At 40.9% G+C, this 17,827-nt stretch overlaps 2 protein-coding genes and 2 long non-coding RNA genes across 15 annotated transcripts in view, besides 5 other annotated features; 2 read left to right on the plus strand and 2 right to left on the minus strand.

The window, feature by feature from the left end:
- Positions 1-766, plus strand: part of E2F5 (E2F transcription factor 5) — a 37,365-nt gene extending 36,599 nt beyond the window's left edge. For all 3 annotated transcript variants that reach the window (NM_001951.4, NM_001083588.2, NM_001083589.2), the window contains exon 8: positions 1-766. In NM_001951.4, coding sequence (NP_001942.2) covers positions 1-110 — 110 coding nt within the window. In that variant the 3' untranslated portion in view covers positions 111-766.
- On the minus strand, positions 296-6,622 carry RBIS (ribosomal biogenesis factor). 8 transcript variants are annotated; one of them, XM_011517528.4, is made up of 5 exons: positions 6,554-6,622; positions 5,571-5,608; positions 3,634-3,750; positions 1,169-1,285; positions 296-879 (listed from the first exon to the last, which is right to left on the minus strand). In XM_011517528.4, the coding sequence occupies exons 3-5, from the start codon at positions 3,745-3,747 to the stop codon at positions 808-810; spliced, it is 303 nt and encodes a 100-aa protein (XP_011515830.1). In that variant the 5' UTR covers positions 3,748-3,750; positions 5,571-5,608; positions 6,554-6,622; the 3' UTR covers positions 296-807. The 8 variants fall into 8 exon arrangements, 7 of the variants coding, with proteins under 7 accessions (XP_011515830.1, NP_001093141.1, NP_001093142.1 ...); NM_001099671.3 differs by having other exon boundaries at positions 5,484-5,608; NM_001099672.3 differs by having other exon boundaries at positions 5,571-5,611.
- Positions 6,098-6,869: an enhancer, noted in NCBI's record as "H3K27ac-H3K4me1 hESC enhancer chr8:86132079-86132850 (GRCh37/hg19 assembly coordinates)". NCBI's record gives its function as "activates a minimal SCP1, AML or CMV promoter by ChIP-STARR-seq in naive H9 embryonic stem cells {active_cell/tissue: H9 hESC(naive)}" and the evidence as "EXISTENCE:reporter gene assay evidence [ECO:0000049][PMID:30033119]".
- Positions 6,479-6,608: an enhancer, noted in NCBI's record as "active region_27592". NCBI's record gives its function as "activates an Ori minimal core promoter by ATAC-STARR-seq in GM12878 lymphoblastoid cells {active_cell/tissue: GM12878}" and the evidence as "EXISTENCE:reporter gene assay evidence [ECO:0000049][PMID:35858748]".
- Positions 6,795-17,827, plus strand: part of LOC124901969 (uncharacterized) — a 17,324-nt gene continuing 6,291 nt past the window's right edge. Inside the window, exons 1-4 of one of the 2 annotated variants that reach the window (XR_007060984.1) lie at positions 6,795-7,373; positions 11,203-11,543; positions 16,333-16,448; positions 16,541-16,964. This is a non-coding gene — a long non-coding RNA (uncharacterized LOC124901969). Of the gene's footprint in view, positions 7,374-11,202; positions 11,544-16,332; positions 16,449-16,540; positions 16,965-17,827 lie in introns of those variants that run through there. The other variant, XR_007060985.1, reaches the window with a different exon arrangement.
- Positions 6,919-7,158: an enhancer, noted in NCBI's record as "active region_27593". NCBI's record gives its function as "activates an Ori minimal core promoter by ATAC-STARR-seq in GM12878 lymphoblastoid cells {active_cell/tissue: GM12878}" and the evidence as "EXISTENCE:reporter gene assay evidence [ECO:0000049][PMID:35858748]".
- Positions 7,642-8,411: an enhancer, noted in NCBI's record as "H3K27ac hESC enhancer chr8:86133623-86134392 (GRCh37/hg19 assembly coordinates)". NCBI's record gives its function as "activates a minimal SCP1, AML or CMV promoter by ChIP-STARR-seq in naive H9 embryonic stem cells {active_cell/tissue: H9 hESC(naive)}" and the evidence as "EXISTENCE:reporter gene assay evidence [ECO:0000049][PMID:30033119]".
- LOC105375936 (uncharacterized) overlaps positions 8,675-17,827 on the minus strand; it is a 21,059-nt gene continuing 11,906 nt past the window's right edge. The window contains exons 2-4 of one of the 2 annotated variants that reach the window (XR_929125.3): positions 15,215-15,358; positions 12,757-12,887; positions 8,675-9,101 (exon numbers count right to left, since the gene is read on the minus strand). This is a non-coding gene — a long non-coding RNA (uncharacterized LOC105375936). The remainder of the gene's footprint in view (positions 9,102-12,756; positions 12,888-15,214; positions 15,359-17,827) is intronic. The other variant, XR_929126.3, reaches the window with a different exon arrangement.
- Positions 12,166-12,665: an enhancer, noted in NCBI's record as "H3K4me1 hESC enhancer chr8:86138147-86138646 (GRCh37/hg19 assembly coordinates)". NCBI's record gives its function as "activates a minimal SCP1, AML or CMV promoter by ChIP-STARR-seq in naive H9 embryonic stem cells {active_cell/tissue: H9 hESC(naive)}" and the evidence as "EXISTENCE:reporter gene assay evidence [ECO:0000049][PMID:30033119]".

The following is a 17,827-nucleotide window of genomic DNA, read 5'->3' on the forward strand; positions in this document are numbered from 1 at the left end:
TGTTTCCTCTCTTAAGGCTTTCTCCTACCCCGGCAGATGACTACAACTTTAATTTAGATGATAACGAAGGAGTTTGTGATCTGTTTGATGTCCAGATACTAAATTATTAGATTCCATGGAAACTTGGGACTGTTATCTACCTCTAACTGTGTAACATTTTAGACTTCTTAATAACCTAAATATTTAAAATAATGAATGTAACACCTTTTTTAGTTCACTGATTCTGAAGTGTTCTTCCCTAATACTTTCTTTACTTCACAAAACTTCAACCATAAAAACAAAGGGCTCTGATTGCTTTAGGGGATAAGTGATTTAATATCCACAAACGTCCCCACTCCCAAAAGTAACTATATTCTGGATTTCAACTTTTCTTCTAATTGTGAATCCTTCTGTTTTTTCTTCTTAAGGAGGAAAGTTAAAGGACACTACAGGTCATCAAAAACAAGTTGGCCAAGGACTCATTACTTGTCTTATATTTTTACTGCCACTAAACTGCCTGTATTTCTGTATGTCCTTCTATCCAAACAGACGTTCACTGCCACTTGTAAAGTGAAGGATGTAAACGAGGATATATAACTGTTTCAGTGAACAGATTTTGTGAAGTGCCTTCTGTTTTAGCACTTTAAGTTTATCACATTTTGTTGACTTCTGACATTCCACTTTCCTAGGTTATAGGAAAGATCTGTTTATGTAGTTTGTTTTTAAAATGTGCCAATGCCTGTACATTAACAAGATTTTTAAAAATAAAATTGTATAAAACATTCAATTTATTGGTCTTTGTGGAGAATTAGATGCATCACCAGTATATTACAACAGAGCCATTAATCTTGTAGCTTCATCAACATTAACTGGTTTGCTTTCATGACGCTGCTGAGGAATCTGAAAGGAGAAAGTATTATATTTAAAAACACAGACAACAATAGCAGACAAATGACTTATATAAGCTGTTATTCAATTTAATTTTTCTAGTCATATCTTTGGAAGTAGAACAATCTGTATATTCTGACAATGTTTTAGAGTCTGAATATGCTATTTATACTATAGAGCCTAGTACTAGAGAGCCAAGTACTAAAAATTACACTCAACTTACAGGCTTTGAAAACTTGGGAGTTTAATTTATTAGCCTCAATTTGTTAGCCATAAAAAAAAGCAAATGATTTCTGCTTACCAGTTCTTTCTGCAGAGGTTCAAGTGAAATGCTTTTTGCGAAATGTGCAAGTTCCTTTTGTACATTTACAAAAGCTTTATTTACTCTGTTAACTTTTTCCTCATTCATAATGTTTATCTTTTAAAAAGAAAAAAAGCATTAATCTATGATCTCATAACCATTAAAGATAAGATATATTCAACCTTAACCTGTTAAATCTAAAATCTAAAAACTCTTACCAACAAATTAGGGATAATTCACTCAAAAATTCTTATAGTCTTATTGGGAAATTACAGACAAAAAGTTTTGGTTTTTAAAAAATGGGATTTATGTGGCTATGCCTCACACTTATGGTTCAGAAGGCTAAAATATGTGACTGTGATATTGTGATTCATAATAAGATATATATATATATTTGGTCTTTGTCCTCATTTCCTGTCATACAGCTTTTTAAATCATTGTATTAAGAGGGATAAGAGTGTCTTTTGAATGCTAATAAGATGGCTGGTAGCTGGGAGTCTCTAGATAGCTTCAGGAGGAGGGCTAGTCAGATAAAAACACAGGGTTAGAGGATTAGGACTTTCTGCTCCAGAGGAGTGGGGATAAAGGTTAAGCCCATCACTAATGGCCAATGATTTAATGAATTATGCCTACATAATGAAGCCTCCGGAAATCTACAAAAGAACTGGGTTCAAAGAGCTTCTGGATAGCTGAACACATGGGGGCTCCTAGAAAGTGGCATGCCCAGAGAGAGCAGGGAAGCTCCATGCCCCTTCCCATGTACCTTGCCCTCTGCACCTCTTCCATCTGGCTACGCATCTGTCCCCTTTGTAATATCCTTTATAATAAACTGGTAAAAGTATTTTCCTGGGTTCTGTGAGCTGCTCTAGCAAATTAATCAAACCCAAGGAGGGGGTCATGGGAACACTTATTTATAACTGGTTGGTGAGAAGCACAGGTAAAACATCTGGGACTTGTGATTGTCACTGGAAGTTGGGGAGAGGCTTAGGACTCAACTCTCAACCTGTGGAATCTGACGCTATCTCCAGGTCAGCAGTGTCAGATTTTAATTAAAGGACACCCAGCTGCTGCCTGCTGAAGATTCATCTGCAGAATTGTTAGGTGTGGGGGAACTGCCCCACAAATCTAGTATTGGAAGTGTTGAGTGACCGTATGAGAGTGAGAGTAAGAGAAACTGAGTTGCTTTTTTCCTGTATCCTTACAGTGACCAAAATCTTTCTAGGCTACAGTGCTGTCATCCCGCATCTATACAAGAAACCTGGATCAAATACTTTTAGTCCCTTCTAACATAACAATACGTCTCTGAATCCTTCCTGGACCTTCTTGTCTTAATGGAAGACCCCTGATGACAGCTTCCCTCGCAGTCCTCCTCTTGAGTTTAACAGAGGTAGGGGTGGTGCTCTTCTTCTTCACTGTTGCTGCTGCCAAACAATTTCTCCTTCAAAACCCTTACCTCCTTTGCACCTTATGCAGCCTACCCATAGATCTCTCTCTTAGATCCTACCTGGTGGCATATATAAAAGTTCTAGTACCTCCTGTCCAAATAAAATAATCTTCCTCAAATACACCAAGCTTTTCCCTAGCTCAGGGCCTCTGCACTTGCTATTTTTCTCTGCCTCGAACCCACCACTCCCAACACTTCCTAGCTCTTTGCATTGCTAGCTCTTTGTCATTCTAGTCTTGGTTTCAATGTGTCAACTATGAAGACCGTCCTATATAAACTGTCATCCCCAAAACCCCCATCATCTGCTTAATTTCATTCTTAGCATTTATAAAATCATAAAACTATTCAACCAAAAAGCTTAACTCCGCTAGCTCATGAAAGTTGAAAGATGAAATGTTAGATTTCTATGGACTATTATAATTAAACTGAGTCCTGGAGAGCTGACTCCATCTACTACTGAAACTTGAAAACATTTTCTTAAAAATTTTTCTTAAATCTTGTAGAAATTTCTCAGGTATTTTGAAATATAAACAAAGAAAAGAAACCCCTTTCAAATTGTGCATTTCAATAAATATTTTTTATCTTCATTTTACAGGTTTTTGTTTGAATTGCAGATGTCTTCAAAGATACAAGAATTACTGAGGAGAAAAAGAATGGGTGCTCACTGACATCCCATGTCTTGCCTCTATTAATACATTCTTACATTTGAGTTTAGAGATAAGAACTGTTTCCCATACTATGGTTTTTAAATGAGTTCTATGGTTCAGTAAAACTATTAAATTGAAGCTTCACACATTTGTAGTTAAAATGTTTATTTCTTTTCAACATTTGTTTTCAAGAAAGGGAGGTTATTTTTCTTCCTTTTTTTTTATATTTTTTTAGACAAATGCTTGAAACCATCCTTACCTTTCTAGGAAAAATGAAGAACCTTTTTAAAAAGTAATAGTATACAGCTGTTCAGTAGCTTACAATGACACTTTGCTTGTAAACAATAAAGTCAGAGTGCTTAACTAATACTCACCTTCTTAAGATTAGTGGTAACTGGTTTTGCTTTGTTTTTAGCCTTAAAGTTTTTTTGGCTGGCTATGTGAAATACATTCCTGGACTTCGGCCCTCTTAATTTGTTCTTGGCCATTGTCTAGAAAAGAAAATAAATTCAATTAAATTGCCCACATTTATGAACCGTAAGTCAATTTTAAGTTTTTAAAGGTACCAATTAAATCTAAAAAATTCTATCTTACTCTTGATTATTTTTAAAGTTGGTGCATATATTATTTCCAAGTCTTTCACTCCTAGTAGATTTTCTGCTCTTTGAGTACAGAGTATGTATCTAATTCTTCCCTGTATCCCCAGTAATGGGCCCATAGGAGGCATCCAATTAATATCTGCTGGTTGAATTCACTAATATCATCAACACAATAACTGTTATTCTCAGCAGTACCTCACCACCCATCCTTCTGTTAGTCTATATACTACTATGCTATTCTGGTTCCTATCATACTTTAGAGACTGATTCTGCCTCCTTCTTGACTTCTTTTTTATTCCTTTTTACTCTCCCCACTTTCTCTCCTGTGCATCCCATCAAAATCAGTCCTTAATCCTCCATTTCCTACCTCCCTCTCTCCCTTAATTTACTTTTATGACTTCCATATTACCTCTATGTGAACGGCCCTTGCCTTGAAGTGTTGGATACTGTCTTTCCTCCGTAGCTAGAGATGCATTAAGCCAGTAAATTCTACCTTAAAACATCTCTCAGATCTGCCTTTAATAATGTATATGAGGAATAATTTTTAAAATATTAAGTTAACACATATTGAGCTTTTATTATATGTACAAGCACTACACTTATGTGCTTTAACTCATTTACTCCTTACAACCCTTTGTAAGAAGTACTATTATCCCCATTTTAAAGATTAAAATTAAAAAACTGACGCAAAGAGAAGTTAATTTGCCCAATGTCACACTGTCAATAACCAGGAGATGCCAGGACTTACAGCCAGGCAGACTAGATCAGAGCTAACGTTATGTGATATTACACTTCATGTATAAATATAAAAGCTATACAAAAAAATGGTATAGTATTGCTTAGTTCAGGACTGGATTACTGCTGAAGTCCCTAGGTCCATTTGTTCAAACCACTGTTTGTCAAACTATGCCCATGGACCAAATCAGGCCAAGCACCTGTCCTTGTAGTAAAGTTTAATTGGAGGCCAAGTGCAGGCGCGGTGGCTCACACCTATAATCCCAGCACTTTGGGAGGCGAAGGCAGAGACCAGCCTCACCATGGTGAAACCCTGTCTCTACTACAAATACAAAAATTAGCTGGGCGTGGTGGCACATGCCTGTGATCCCAGCTACTCGGGAGACTGAGGAAGGAGAATCGCTTGAATCCGGAAGGCGAAGGTTGCAGTGAGCCAAGATTGCACCAGTGCACTCCAGCCTGAGTGACAGAGCAAGACTCTGTCTCAAAAAAATTAATTAATTAAAAAATAAAGTTTAATTGGAATACAGTTATGTCCATTCAATCATATGCTGATATGGCTGCTTTCCTGCTATAACTATGACCCACAAAGTCCAAAATATTTAGTGTCCGACCTTTAACAGAAAGTCTGCCAACTCCTGGCTTAAGCCATCTGCACAGTGGCTATCTGGCACCAAGCTATGCGATCGACCTTCCCAATGTTAAAAACCTTCAACAGTTTTCCCAATGTATAAGGGGCAACGTGCCTTGGCTTGGCATATTACTGGCACTCTGAATCTACCCTAAATCTGCCACACATATCTCCTGTTACGTCCCTATAAACACTGCTCTAGCCAGCCTGGTCTAACTGTTCTCTTGCACAGACACCTTGAACATTCTTCCTTTTTTACCTTTGCTCAGTCGTAGTCTTGACTGAAATTTATATCTTCCTTCAATGTAGCCTTACTACATTGTAAGTAATTAAGGAACTACTTAACTGAAACAGCAATGCTTTTGAACGCCAACAGTATTCCTCCTACTTAAAAAAGAATGCAGTAGAAAATACATGGTTATTACAGAAGATGCAAAAAATAAAATACACATAATAAAACCCCTCAAATGAAGTACTCTAAAATCATTCCAAGCCGGGCGCGGTGGCTCATGCCTGTAATCCCAGCACTTTGGGAGGCCGAGGCGGACGGATCACTTGAGGCCAGGAGTTCGAGACCACCCTGGCCAACATGATGAAACCCCGTTTCCACTAAAAAAAATTAAAATTAGCCGGGCGTGGTGACGCGCGCCTCTAATCCCAGCTACTCGGGAGGCTGAGACACGAGGAGGCGGAGGTTGCAGTGAGCCGAGATCACGCCACTGCACACCAGCCTGGGCGACAGACTGAGACTCAGTCTCAAAAATAAATAAATAAAAATTAAAATAAAATAATTACAATAGTAACCAAAATCCAATCATTCATCTAGTATAAATCAATTGCTATATGCCACGTGTGGTAGAGAACCTATATTTTATACACAAAAAATATATATGGAACATAAATAATGACAGTATATATACGGAACATACACAGACATGATAGGTATATTGTACATGACACTACCTATAATATACACATGGACCATGAACAGACAGTCTACAAGTGGAGAGGTTTACTAGAGCTGTAGACCTGAGCAAGGTTCGTGGAGAAAGTAATACACTAGTGGGGGTGTGCGAGTGGAGGGAAATTCTCTGAAAACCACGTAGAAACTGATCATGAAAGACACAGCCCAAAACTGGGACCCCGTCAGGAGATGAAAGCCCAACAAGCACCGGGGTTTCGGGCCTGCTACCCAGTAGGGCTGCCTGAGGCAGAGCGCGACGGAACCGAGCCTACAGGCCACAGCGGTACGAGACCGGCCCAATCCAACCCCGACCCCTGCAAACTTCACGCCAGCCCTCCAGAAAACTTAATTTATTAAACTCTCACCAGAAGTTTAACACTTGCGTGCAGCTTTTTAAGCTCCAGGTAACACCATCTGGCACGTACGGCGTCTAGGAAGTTCCGGGGAGGATGAACCAGTCAGGATTCCGCTCACGAGCCGTAGCTCCGCCCACCGAACGGAGCCCCGTCCATAGGCGGAAGTCCCGCCCATAGAGTGAGTTCCCACCCACCTGGCGTAGTCCCGCCCATAGAGCCAAGTCTAAGGAGCAAGGTGCAGTGAAAAAGCGAAGCCCCACCCATAGAGCGAGGTTCGGAAGTCCAGTCTCATTAGCATCCCTTGTCTTCCGCGGTGTTGCAGACTTATCCTCAGCTCAAGCGAGTTTGGGGCGTTATGGAGCCAGCCAAGTCTCCCCTTGCTGGCGTGGGTACTTGTGCAGAAACTTCCCGAGGTGCTTCTGAGACTGCACAGTGAAGACCGCCGCACCGGAGGTCAGCGCTCCGCCGCGGACTCCCGGCTGACTCTGCCACTCTCCCAGGAGGAGGCGCTGTGCACCTCTGGGTGGTTTCCAGGGCTCGGCTGGCGGTAGAGGGAGCCTTGAGGTTGGAAAAGATCTAGAGCTATAATCTCCGAAAGGAAGATTTGTAATGCACTGCGAGTTAGAAATGTTTTTCTCACTGCAGCTTCCTTGTTTCAAAAAGAGAATTTTTGACAGCACTGCAAAGGCACAAGAAACCAGGCACAGTATAAAATATACAAATAAAACAGGTACCAAGGAACTTAAAACATTCAACCCATAACGTCGTCTAGGTTTTTCTGCTTTAAGAAAATTGACTCAATTCTTCCAAGAGAATAACCCTATTAAAGGTAAGTTTTCACATGTGCCTCTATTTATTTTGTTGAGGTCATAGGAAAAGCTGGATTTCAAACAAACGTAGATGTAAGAATTAAATAGAGGAGAGAAGCACGAAGGGTGGCTTTATAGTCAACAGGGACAGGTTTATTTTAAATAAACCTGAGACTGGCAGCTGGCCAAGTTAGGTCAGAGCCACACTCTCTTACAGACTAAGAGTTTTTAAGGATTCAGGGTGGGAGAGTTTAACAGAGGCTTGGACTGCTTCTGTGTCTCTTTGCTGTGCTTATCTGGGAGGGAGAGTTGTGTGTCTGTTCCCATACATCTTTCTGCAGCTGCAGGCATACCCGCAGCTAAAAGTCTGCTTTTAGCTTCCCTATCTTAGTACACCTGAAGGGAAAGGAATGTGCTTATTAAGGCCCACTGTTTCACTGGGGCTCATTGTATGAGGGTGAGGTTTGGTAGTTAGCCAAGAGATTTTCCCCCTACTTCACTCTGCCTGAGCTGTCTTATCTGTGTTTTACTGACTGCTCTTTCTATCTGCTTGTAATTAGAAGAGAAGTGATTTCCTTGAAATTCATGAGGCTAGAAAGGGAGCTGGAACTTAAAAATGGCGGTGTTTGTCCGAGATGACGGTGCTCCTGCTCTGTCAGTAAAACTGACATTTATATGCCATTTTGTAGCTTACAAAAGATTTCAGCCTACACTATGCTCAAAATAAGGTGATAAAACCACTCCTGTTTTGCAAGTGATGATACTACTAAGGTTCAGAGTTTAAGCCGTGTGCTGGCAGCCACACAACTAACTAGAAATTGACAAAGCCAGACGGTTTTGTAAAACTAAGCATTTTTTTAAAACAGTTTTTAAAAAGGTTTTGTAAACTTGATAATTCGCAAATCCACATTGGTTAGCACTTGGTCAAGTCCTCTTTCCAACAAACCAGGCACTTGCCTGCTTACAGAAAGATAAGCAATTTTTGCAATAAATCATTTAATTATGCCCATCACAAAAAAAATTAAGGAACAGAATATACTAAGGGGAGAGGAATAATTGCTTGCCAATGTATGTTTATTCAAACTTTTGTATTCTTTCTGACGATCCACCTGTTAAAAACACCTAAAAATGCTGGTATAAAATGCCCATAAAGTGTAAGAGCAAAACAAAAACAGAAAACCGTTAGACTTTTTTATAAGGCCAGAGTTATTCACAAATACTGAGGTGAATAAGTTGGGTACAATTATTTGGTTCTTTGAATGTGAGGCTATTGATATATATATACAGAAGGCAAAGAAATAAATGTAACAGAACGACATTACAGTGTTTATGAAAACTGGTAGGTCTCACTTTTATTTTGAAGTGGCGAAATAACATGGTTATTCAGGCAAGAGCAGAGGTCTGAGTGAGGAGGCCTGGGTTTTTGGTTTACCTCTCCCACCAACCAACCGTGTGATCTTGGAAAAGTTACTTCATTTCTCTGTGCCTCCCTTTCCCATATGCATGTAGATAGTCATTATACCCACTTCAGAGAACGTTGATTATCTGCTCAGCATCCCTTTCTGGATAACCACTCTTCTCCGATCAAGTTGTCCTGGTTGAGCTGATAACTACAGTCCTCCTCTAAGGATTTTCCAGCTAGAGCTGGTGGAAAATGCTGTCTCTTGCATTTGGTGTCTTTGTGCTGGGATGATATAAAATCAAGGCTACTAGTGGCCATCTCCTCCAGCAACTTGGAAGAAGTCTTCCTGCAATGAGAGCAACACACACAAGAAGACAGAACTGAACAGACCAGAGAACTCTGATGCAATCATTTGAGTCCTTGGATTCAGCCATAGATGGAAGAAAGATCCATCCCTTCATTTTTCAAGTACCTGAGCTAAAATATTACCTTCTTTGAGCTTAAACTACTTTGGGTTGTTTTTATTTTATTTTTTAGTCACTTTAACCTGAAAGAGTCTTGACTCCACTCCTGTCCTACCTACTTCACAGGATTATTGTGCAGAGTTAGTGAAATATAAAACATGAAAGCATAAAGTATTACTAAAACAAAAGAAAGGATCATGTTAATTTTCTAAGAGCCATATTTACCCATGTTCCAAATGAACCATACATAAAGAAAATAGCTTAAAGATTTTTCATCTTTAAAAATACATGCAAAAATTAAATTTCCAGTTTTTCTAACAATCTTAAAGATGAATAAAATCATAAATAGAAAAATAATCTTTCAGAAACCTTAGTTTTCCTGGGATAGACTCGGCAATGCAGAGTTCTTTATACAGACCTGGACCTCAAATAATTGTCTTGGAAGCAATTCAACAAGTAAACAAAGATAATTAAGGAGAAGAAGAAAATGAGAACACCACATAAATTACAAACCATCTATAATGAAACTCATAGTCCTCTAAGGGAACACAGCCAGCCTTGTATAGATGATACTCCATAATTTCTCTTACTTATTTAACCTCCATCTCTTCTCTCCACCACACAGTTTCATTAAGTCAAAATAGTTTGGACACCTAGGCTCTGTAGGTGCTCAAAGGAAGTACATACCACATTTCTATCTCTCAGGGCACAATCATCTGGATTGTAAATGCACAGGGAACAATGATTCTTGACAGAAAGTGGTAAGAACTATGATAAATGCACAAAATATGCTATTTATGGGTGGAGATAATTCCGAATTCCAGAAACATTCATGTTAAAGCTCTTATTTGATTGTCTCAGAGCAGAAATTGGCAGACTTCAGCCCAAAGGCCAGATCCAGCCCACTACTTATTTTTGTATAGCCCACGAGCTAAGAATGAAGTTGCATCTTAAGATGGGGAAAAACTCAACATAAGAATGATACATAGCAACACATGCATATTCTATTAAATTCATGTTTCTGTGTCCACAAAGTGTCACTGCAGCACAGCCATGCTCATTTGTTTACATCTTGTCTGTCTGCTGTCATGCTGTAATGATAATGCTGAGTACTTGCGACAGAAACCGCATAGCCTGGAAAGCCTAAAACATTTATTACCTAGGCCTTGACCAATTTAATTTTTTTTTTTTTTGAGGCAGAATTTTGCTCTTATTGCCCAGGCTGGAGTGCAGTGGCTCAATCTTGGCTCACCACAACCTCTGCCTCCCGGGTTCAAGCGATTCTCCTGCCTCAGCCTCCTGAGTAGCTGGGATTACAGGCATGCGTCACCATGCCCAGCTAATTTTGTATTTTTAGTAGAGATGGGGTTTCTCCATGTTGGTCAGGCTGGTCTCGAACTCCCGACCTCAAGTGATCTACCTGCCCCAGCCCCCCAAAGTGCTGGGATTACAGGCATGAGCCACTGCGCCCGGCCCTAATTTTTTTTTTAAACAGGGTCTCACTCTGTCGCCTATGCTGGAGTGCAATGGCGCGAACACTGCTCACTGCAGCCTCCACCTCCCGGACTCAAGCGATCCTCCCACCTCCTCAACCCCCCAAGTAGCTGAGACTACAGGTGCACACCACCATGCTTGGCTAATTTTTGTATTTTTTGCAGAGACATGGTTTCACCATGTTGCCCAGGCTGGCCTTGCATTCCTGAGCTCATGTGATCCACCCTCCTTGGCATCCCAGATTCTGGGGTTACAGGTGTAAGCCACCACACCCAGCCACCAATTTAAAACTTTAAAACATTGCCAATCCCTATATTAGAGTTGAGCAGCATGGTGGTATTATTCAGAATATTGCTATTTTATACTCAAATACACAGGCAGCTTAAATGAATTTTTCCTCCCAGCATTTCAAGAAGGTAGAAAAACCTTAATGTCATGAGTTTGGGTTCCCTTTCATCTGATGATTATCAATAATTTTCATTCTTCCAGGCTAAAAATGGAAGCTCCCAGTTATGTAGAAGATATTTCCATCTGGATCCGTCTTAGAAAGTGAAACAGGAAATGGCTTAATCCTAGAGGAGAAGATAAGACTGGAGAAATTACTGGGGAAAGGGCGGTTAAGGGCTTTCTGCAAGTGCTTGAGACTATCCCTGTGGCACCCCCTACCACAGCCCTAGGAACAATAGCATAAGATCCTTGCACCAATAAATGTCACAGAAAGGATGGAGTTTTCTGCCTTTAAATGTAATGTGGACTTTGGCATTGAGCATCTCAGCAGCCACTGTGATGAATTGAAGACCAGAGAAATTTTCCTATTTTCTGGGCACTAGGTAAGCCACCCACTTCCATATACTTGAGACTGAGATCACATTTTTATGCCAAATTAAGAAGGGAAAGTCAGAGTCAGATTTAATTTTATCTAAAATTTTAAGTTTTATGATGATTCTAGCACACTTATACTCAAGTATTGAAGTGTTATGATGATCCTCTTTTTGGAGACACAAAGGCTTACTGCAACCTCCGCCTCCTGGGCTCAGGCGATCCTCCCACCCCTCCTCCTGAGTAGCTCAGATTATAGGCACGTGCCACCATGCCCAGCTAATTTTAATTTTTGTAGAGATGAGGTCTTACTATGTTGCTCAGGCTGTCCTGGAACTCCTGGGCTCAAGCAATCCTCCTGCCTTGATCTCCCAAAGTGCTAAGATTACAAGCGCGAGTCATCATGCCCCACAGTGATGTTTCTTAAACTCAAACATTTTAACTGGCAAAAATGGAGCTGCAAGGCCTTGTAGATATACATACATATGGCCGTGCGTGGTGGCTCACGCCTGTAATCCCAGCATCTTGGGAGGCCGAGGCCGAGGCAGTCGGATCACCTGAGGTCAGGAGTTTAAGACCAGCCTGACCAACATGGAGAAACCCCATCTCTACTAAAAACACGAAATTAGCCGGGCTTGGCGGCGCATGCCTGTAATCCCAGCTACTCAGGAGGCTGAGGCAGGAGAATTGCTTGAACCCGGGAGGCAGAGGCTGCGGTGAGCTGAGATCATGCCATTGCACTCCAACCTGGGCAACAAGAGCAAAACTCTATCTCAATAAATAAATAAAAATAAAAAAGATATATACATATATCTGTGTACATACACATATACATACAGCATAACATGAGCAAGCCCTAGACCCAGAGATGGACATGTTATGATTGTGGGAAAGGTCTATTATGGGCGGAGGATGGGGTTGTGGAGATGCTATTGAAGATGAGACTGTAAGATAAACTAATGAAGGGCCTTAACCAAGAAGGGTTCATTTCACTTTAGTATTTTAAAATACTTTAGTATTTCCAAAAAATAAGGATATTCTCCCTCATAACCACAATGCAGCCATCAAAACTCAAAAAATGGATACTGACACATTACTGCTATCTAATCCATAATTGTCATTCGGATTCCATTAATTATCCCAATAACATCTTTTATAACAAAAGAATCCTATTCAGGATAAAGTGTTGCATCAGGTTGTCATGTCTCTTTAGGTACCTCTTACCTGAATAGAACCTCAATCTTTCCTTGGCTTTCCCGGCTTGACGCTTTTGAAAATAACCGTTCAATCATTTTTTGAAATGTTTTAGAATGTTTCTTTTTCTATTGTTTCCTCATGATTAGATTTAGTATATACTGTTTTGGGTGATGGGGAGAAAGACAGACAAAAATACCAGAAAAGTAGTGCTGTGATCTTTCATTGCATCCTATTACTTAGTACATGATTTTATTTGTCCCTTTACAGGGAAATATGAATTTTGATCACTGCATTAAGACAACATCTATCAGGTTTCTCTCCCATGAAGTTGTCCCTTCTCAGGCCGGGCACAGTGGCTCACACATGTAATACTAGCACTTTGGAAGGCCGAGGCAGGTGGGTCACCTGAGGTCGGGAGTTCGAGGCCAGCCTGGCTAACATGGGGAAACCCCATCTCTACTAAAAACAATACAAAAATTAGCCAGGCATGGTGGTACGTACCTTAGTCCTGGATACTCGGGAGGCTGAGGCAGGAGAATCACTTGAACCCAGAAGGCGGAGGTTGCAGTGAGCTGAGATTGCACCACTGCACTCTAGCCTGGGCAACAAGAGCGAGACTCCATTTCCAAAAAAAAAAAAAAGAAAAAGAAAACCAGAAAGTTACTCCTCTTTTAATCAGTATTTTTTTAGGAGCCAGTTTAAACTATGTAAATATCCCATTATTCATCAAACTTTCATGTACTAGTTTTGGTACACATATTGATGTTTCTTGGCTGAATTGTTACTATGATGATTGCCAAATTTTAATTTTTGTATTTCCATCTTCTTTTCTGCAGTCATCAGTTGACATTTTATTGCTAGTAAAAGCTTTCTCCTCCACCTATGTATTTATTGAGATCAGTATGAGCTCATAGGTTGCTATCTTATTCAACAGATTATAGTCTTTTTTTTTTTTTTTTTTTGAGACAGAGTCTACCTCTGTCACCCAGGCTGGAATGCAGTGGCTCAGTCTCTGCTCACTGCAATCTCTGCCTCCCAGGCTCAAATGATTCTCCTGCCTCAGCCTCCCAAGTAGCTGGGACTACAGGCATGTGCCACCATGCCTGCTAATTTTTGTATTTTTAGCAGAGACAGGGTTTCACATATTGGCCAGGTTGGTCTCGAACTCCTGACCTCAAGTGATCTGCCCACCTCAGCCTCCCAATGTGCTGGGATTACAGAGCTGAGCCACCACGCCTGGCTTCACACTATAGTCTTTTATTATCATAATTTATTTTGATGTTCATATTACCCAGATTTGTACAGTGAGTGCTCCTTCACCTGCCCCACTATTTTGATCCATCCCTACCATTCTTTGACCACTTCCTTACTTTCTGGGACAACAAAGCATTCCAGGCTCATTTTGGACCTGTGCTTTGCCAATCTTAGAATCAGTCATTTCTCCACAGAGCCCTGGTTCCTTTAGGTGACAAATGATACTTAGAAACCAAGATCTGGGGCCAGGCATGGTGGCTCACGCCTGTAATCCCAGCACTTTTTGGGAGGCCAAGGCAGGTGGATCACTTGAGGCCAGGAGTTCAAGACCAGCCTGGCCAACATGGCAAAACCCTAAAAACATTAAAGTTAACCAGGTGTGGCGGCACACACTTGTAATCCCAGCTACTTGGGAGGCTGAGGCATGAGAATCACTTGAACCCAGGAGACGGAGGTTGCAGTAAGCAGAAATCACGCCACTGCACTCTAGCCTGAGTGAGAGAGTGAGACTCTGTCTAAAAAAAAAAAAAAAAAAGACAAGAAAAGAAAAAGAAAAGAAACCAAGATCTGGGCTGGGTGTAGTGGCTCACGTCTGTAATCCCAGCACTTTGGGAGGCCGAGGTGGGCGGGTTACCTGAGGTTTGGAGTTCAAGACCAGCCTGGCCAACATGGTGAAACTCTGTCTCTACTAAAATACAAAAAAAATTAGCCAGGCATGGTGGCAGGCGCCTGTAATCCCAGCTCTTCGGGAGGCTGAGGCAGGAGAATAACTTAAACCCAGGAGGCAGAGGTTGCAGTGAGCCGAGATCGCGCCATTGCACTCCAGCCTGGGTGACAAGAGTGAAACTTCATCTAAAAAAAAAAAAAAAAAAAGCAAAGAAACCACGATCTGGGAAGTTGATGCTTCCATGTCTTTGCAGTGACCATAGCTAGGAAATACATGCATGTGTGTACATACTATTTGTCTATCTACCTATCTATCAGTATTCACACGGCACATCAACTGTATTTATTTCTATATGTACACACCATGAGTTCATGCTGATATCTCTAATTTCATTTGAATACCAAAGGTTTTAGTTTTCTACCATTCCATTGTTGTCATTTTTTCCTGGCTCCCTTATTTGAAATATATGTACTCATTTGGTTCATCTTCCTGTATGTAACCAGTCTTCTTTCACTGTTGCCACCTACTTCCCCTACCTCCATGACATGCAGGTGTCCTCCTTACCCCCATGGACTCTCATCCACCTGGGCTGCGGCCATCTTCATGTGCTGCCACCTGAATAGGTGGTTTCCCCACCCTGTTCACTCTCTTGCTTTCTGTGGGCTGATGCCGTCTCTCTCCTCCTTATAAGACCTAATGTCTTTTAGACTTAAGAAGGAAGGAAGGAAAAAGGAATAGAGAAAGGGAGGGAGGCAGAGAAGCAGATAGCAGAGTTTGAGATTTTATTCTATAGGCAACGAAGGACTTGTCCTCCTCTCCACACCCCACCCGCCAAAACACACATGAGATTGCTTATTGTAGGGAATAATTTTGTTAGCTGCATGAAAGTAGCTTAGAAGAAGGAATGGTTGCAGGCAGGGAAGTAGTGGTTCAGGAAATAAGTGATGAAGCCGAACGAGGAGATAGATATCCTTAGATGACTGTGCACCCACTATGGCTCCTCTGAGCAGCCAATGCATGACAAACAGTCAATAAAAATTATATGCAGTCTGCATTTCCGTGTAGTTTCTTCATGGGTCAAATAAATATTAGAGCTACTTTCCAATGAAATTTTTATTTCTTGGCCAGGCACAGTGGCTCATGCCTGTAATCCCAGCACTTTTGGAGGCCAAGGCAGGAGGATCACTTGAGCCCAGGAGTTTGAGACCAGACTGGGCAACATATCAACACCTTATTTCTACCAAAAATACAAAATTAGTTAGACACGGTAGTGTGCACCTGTAGTCTCAGCTCCTCAGGAAGCTGAGGTGGGAGGAAGCTGAGCTTGGGAGGTTGAGGCAGCAGCAAGCCATGATTGTGTCACTGCACTCCAACCTGGGTGACAGAGCAAGACCCTGCCTCAAAATAATGAAAGAAAAAAGAGGAAGGGAGGGAGGGAGGAAAGGAAGGAAGGAAGGTAGGAAGAATGGAAGGAAGGAAGGAAGGAAAGGAAAAGAAATCTACATTTCTTATGAGGAACCGATCAGATGAACATTTTCATGATTGATTGTGGAAATGGGGAATCTTTTTTTAACCCCCTAATGACAGGAGCATTTATTTCTAGACTATAAATGAAAATTTATGACACAGCCTATATAAGAAAATGCAGCAGAATAAACAGGATCCACCACCTTTCTCTCTAGGTCAAATTCCTGGAAATATCTGGAGGGTAAGAACCAGTGAATGAAAAGAGATGGTTAATGCTTTGCAGTGAAGGAAAAGTGACTCGCATCAGTAGATTACTATGAAGCTGCAAGAGGTGAGTCACAGGCTTTAGCTTTTCATGGTATGGTTTCTGTATTCAAATACCATGTTACTTTTATGCATGCTTTTCTCTCGTGCTCTTTTCAGGGCCCAGAAAAAAAAGTCACCTTGGATTTCCATTCATGAATACATACTTCTGTGACATAGGAGGTGTGAAAGAAGCATTTGCTGAATGAAATAAAACTTCCTGAAATGTAAAAATAGGCAAGGGTTTGTAGCCATACACTAAAAATTATTGTAAAGCACTGTCACTGTTAGCATGGCCAAGATATACCTAGAAGAACACTTTTCGTCTTCTTGTAGCACTGCTTCTTGGATGTGATAGGTGCTCCACAAATATACTATTAATTTAATTAAGCAAATTTGATTTAGAATAATCTCCTGGCCAAATGCCTAGGGATCTTGAACCTGAACTAATTATAGTCACAAAGAAGGGCTTGCATTTGAAATCTTCGAGGGTTAAGAATGGTCAAATACATGTCACAAAGACAATAAAAATATTCCAAGGGCATGCGTCGTACTTTTTCACTCTTTATGATACTTGGTTAAAATGCAAGTAATGGTTAAAATAGAGGAACTGTGAAATATTTAGCAGGTGCATATTTAAAACTCAGAAAGTTGGCAAAGGCAAAGAAGGCAGTGTGCTATTAAATTTAAAAAAATGAAAGGATGCAGTGCTTTGTAATTATCAAGTTTAATTGATAATGTAAACTCTCAACTATCTAAGTCTCAACTATGATTTTGTGTTTCAGTTGAAAGTGTTATTTTCAGAGTTTACACAGACCAAAGCAGACAGTCAAAAACTGAGAGAATGCTTGAAAGAGGTGAAGGAGTGGGTCTTGCAGATATTTAGGGGGAAGGTGCTCCAGGCAGAAAGGCCAAGAGCAGAAGACAGCGTGGCATGATTAATGAACAGAAAGCAGCACGGCTGAAGGGGGTCACATAGGGTTCTGCAGGTCATTGCAAGTACTTTGCTTTTGTTAGTTTATTCTGTCTTTTGTTTTGTTTTGTTTTTGTTTTTGTTTTTGTTTTTGAGATGGAGTCTTGCTCTGTCGCCCAGGCTGGAGTGCAGTGGTGCAATCTAGGCTCACTGCAAGCTCTGCCTCCTGGGTTCACGCCATTCTCCTGCCTCAGCCTCCCGAGTAGCTGGGACTACAGACACCTGCCACCACGCCCAGCTAATTTTTTTGTATTTTAGTAGAGACACGTTTCACCATGTTAGCCAGGATGGTCTCGATCTCCTGATCTCGTGATCCACACTCCTTGGCCTCCCAAAGTGCTGCGATTACAGGCATGAGCTGCACCTGGCCCATTCTTTCTTTCTTTAATTATTATTGTTATTAATTTTTGAGGCAGTGTTGCACTCTGTTGCCC

Source organism: Homo sapiens, chromosome 8 (assembly GCF_000001405.40).
Source record: "Homo sapiens chromosome 8, GRCh38.p14 Primary Assembly".
Taxonomy (NCBI): Eukaryota; Metazoa; Chordata; class Mammalia; order Primates; family Hominidae; genus Homo; species Homo sapiens.

Excerpts from the sequence above, each read along its gene's own strand:
- RBIS (NM_001099673.3), bottom strand. The coding sequence starts at position 3,747 with ATGGCCAAGAACAAATTAAGAGGGCCGAAGTCCAGGAATGTATTTCAC. Across the intron at positions 1,286-3,633 it reads TTACCACTAATCTTAAGAAG|ATAAACATTATGAATGAGGA; the intron begins GTGAGTATTAGT and ends TCTTTTTAAAAG. Across the intron at positions 880-1,168 it reads AACCTCTGCAGAAAGAACTG|ATTCCTCAGCAGCGTCATGA; the intron begins GTAAGCAGAAAT and ends TTCTCCTTTCAG.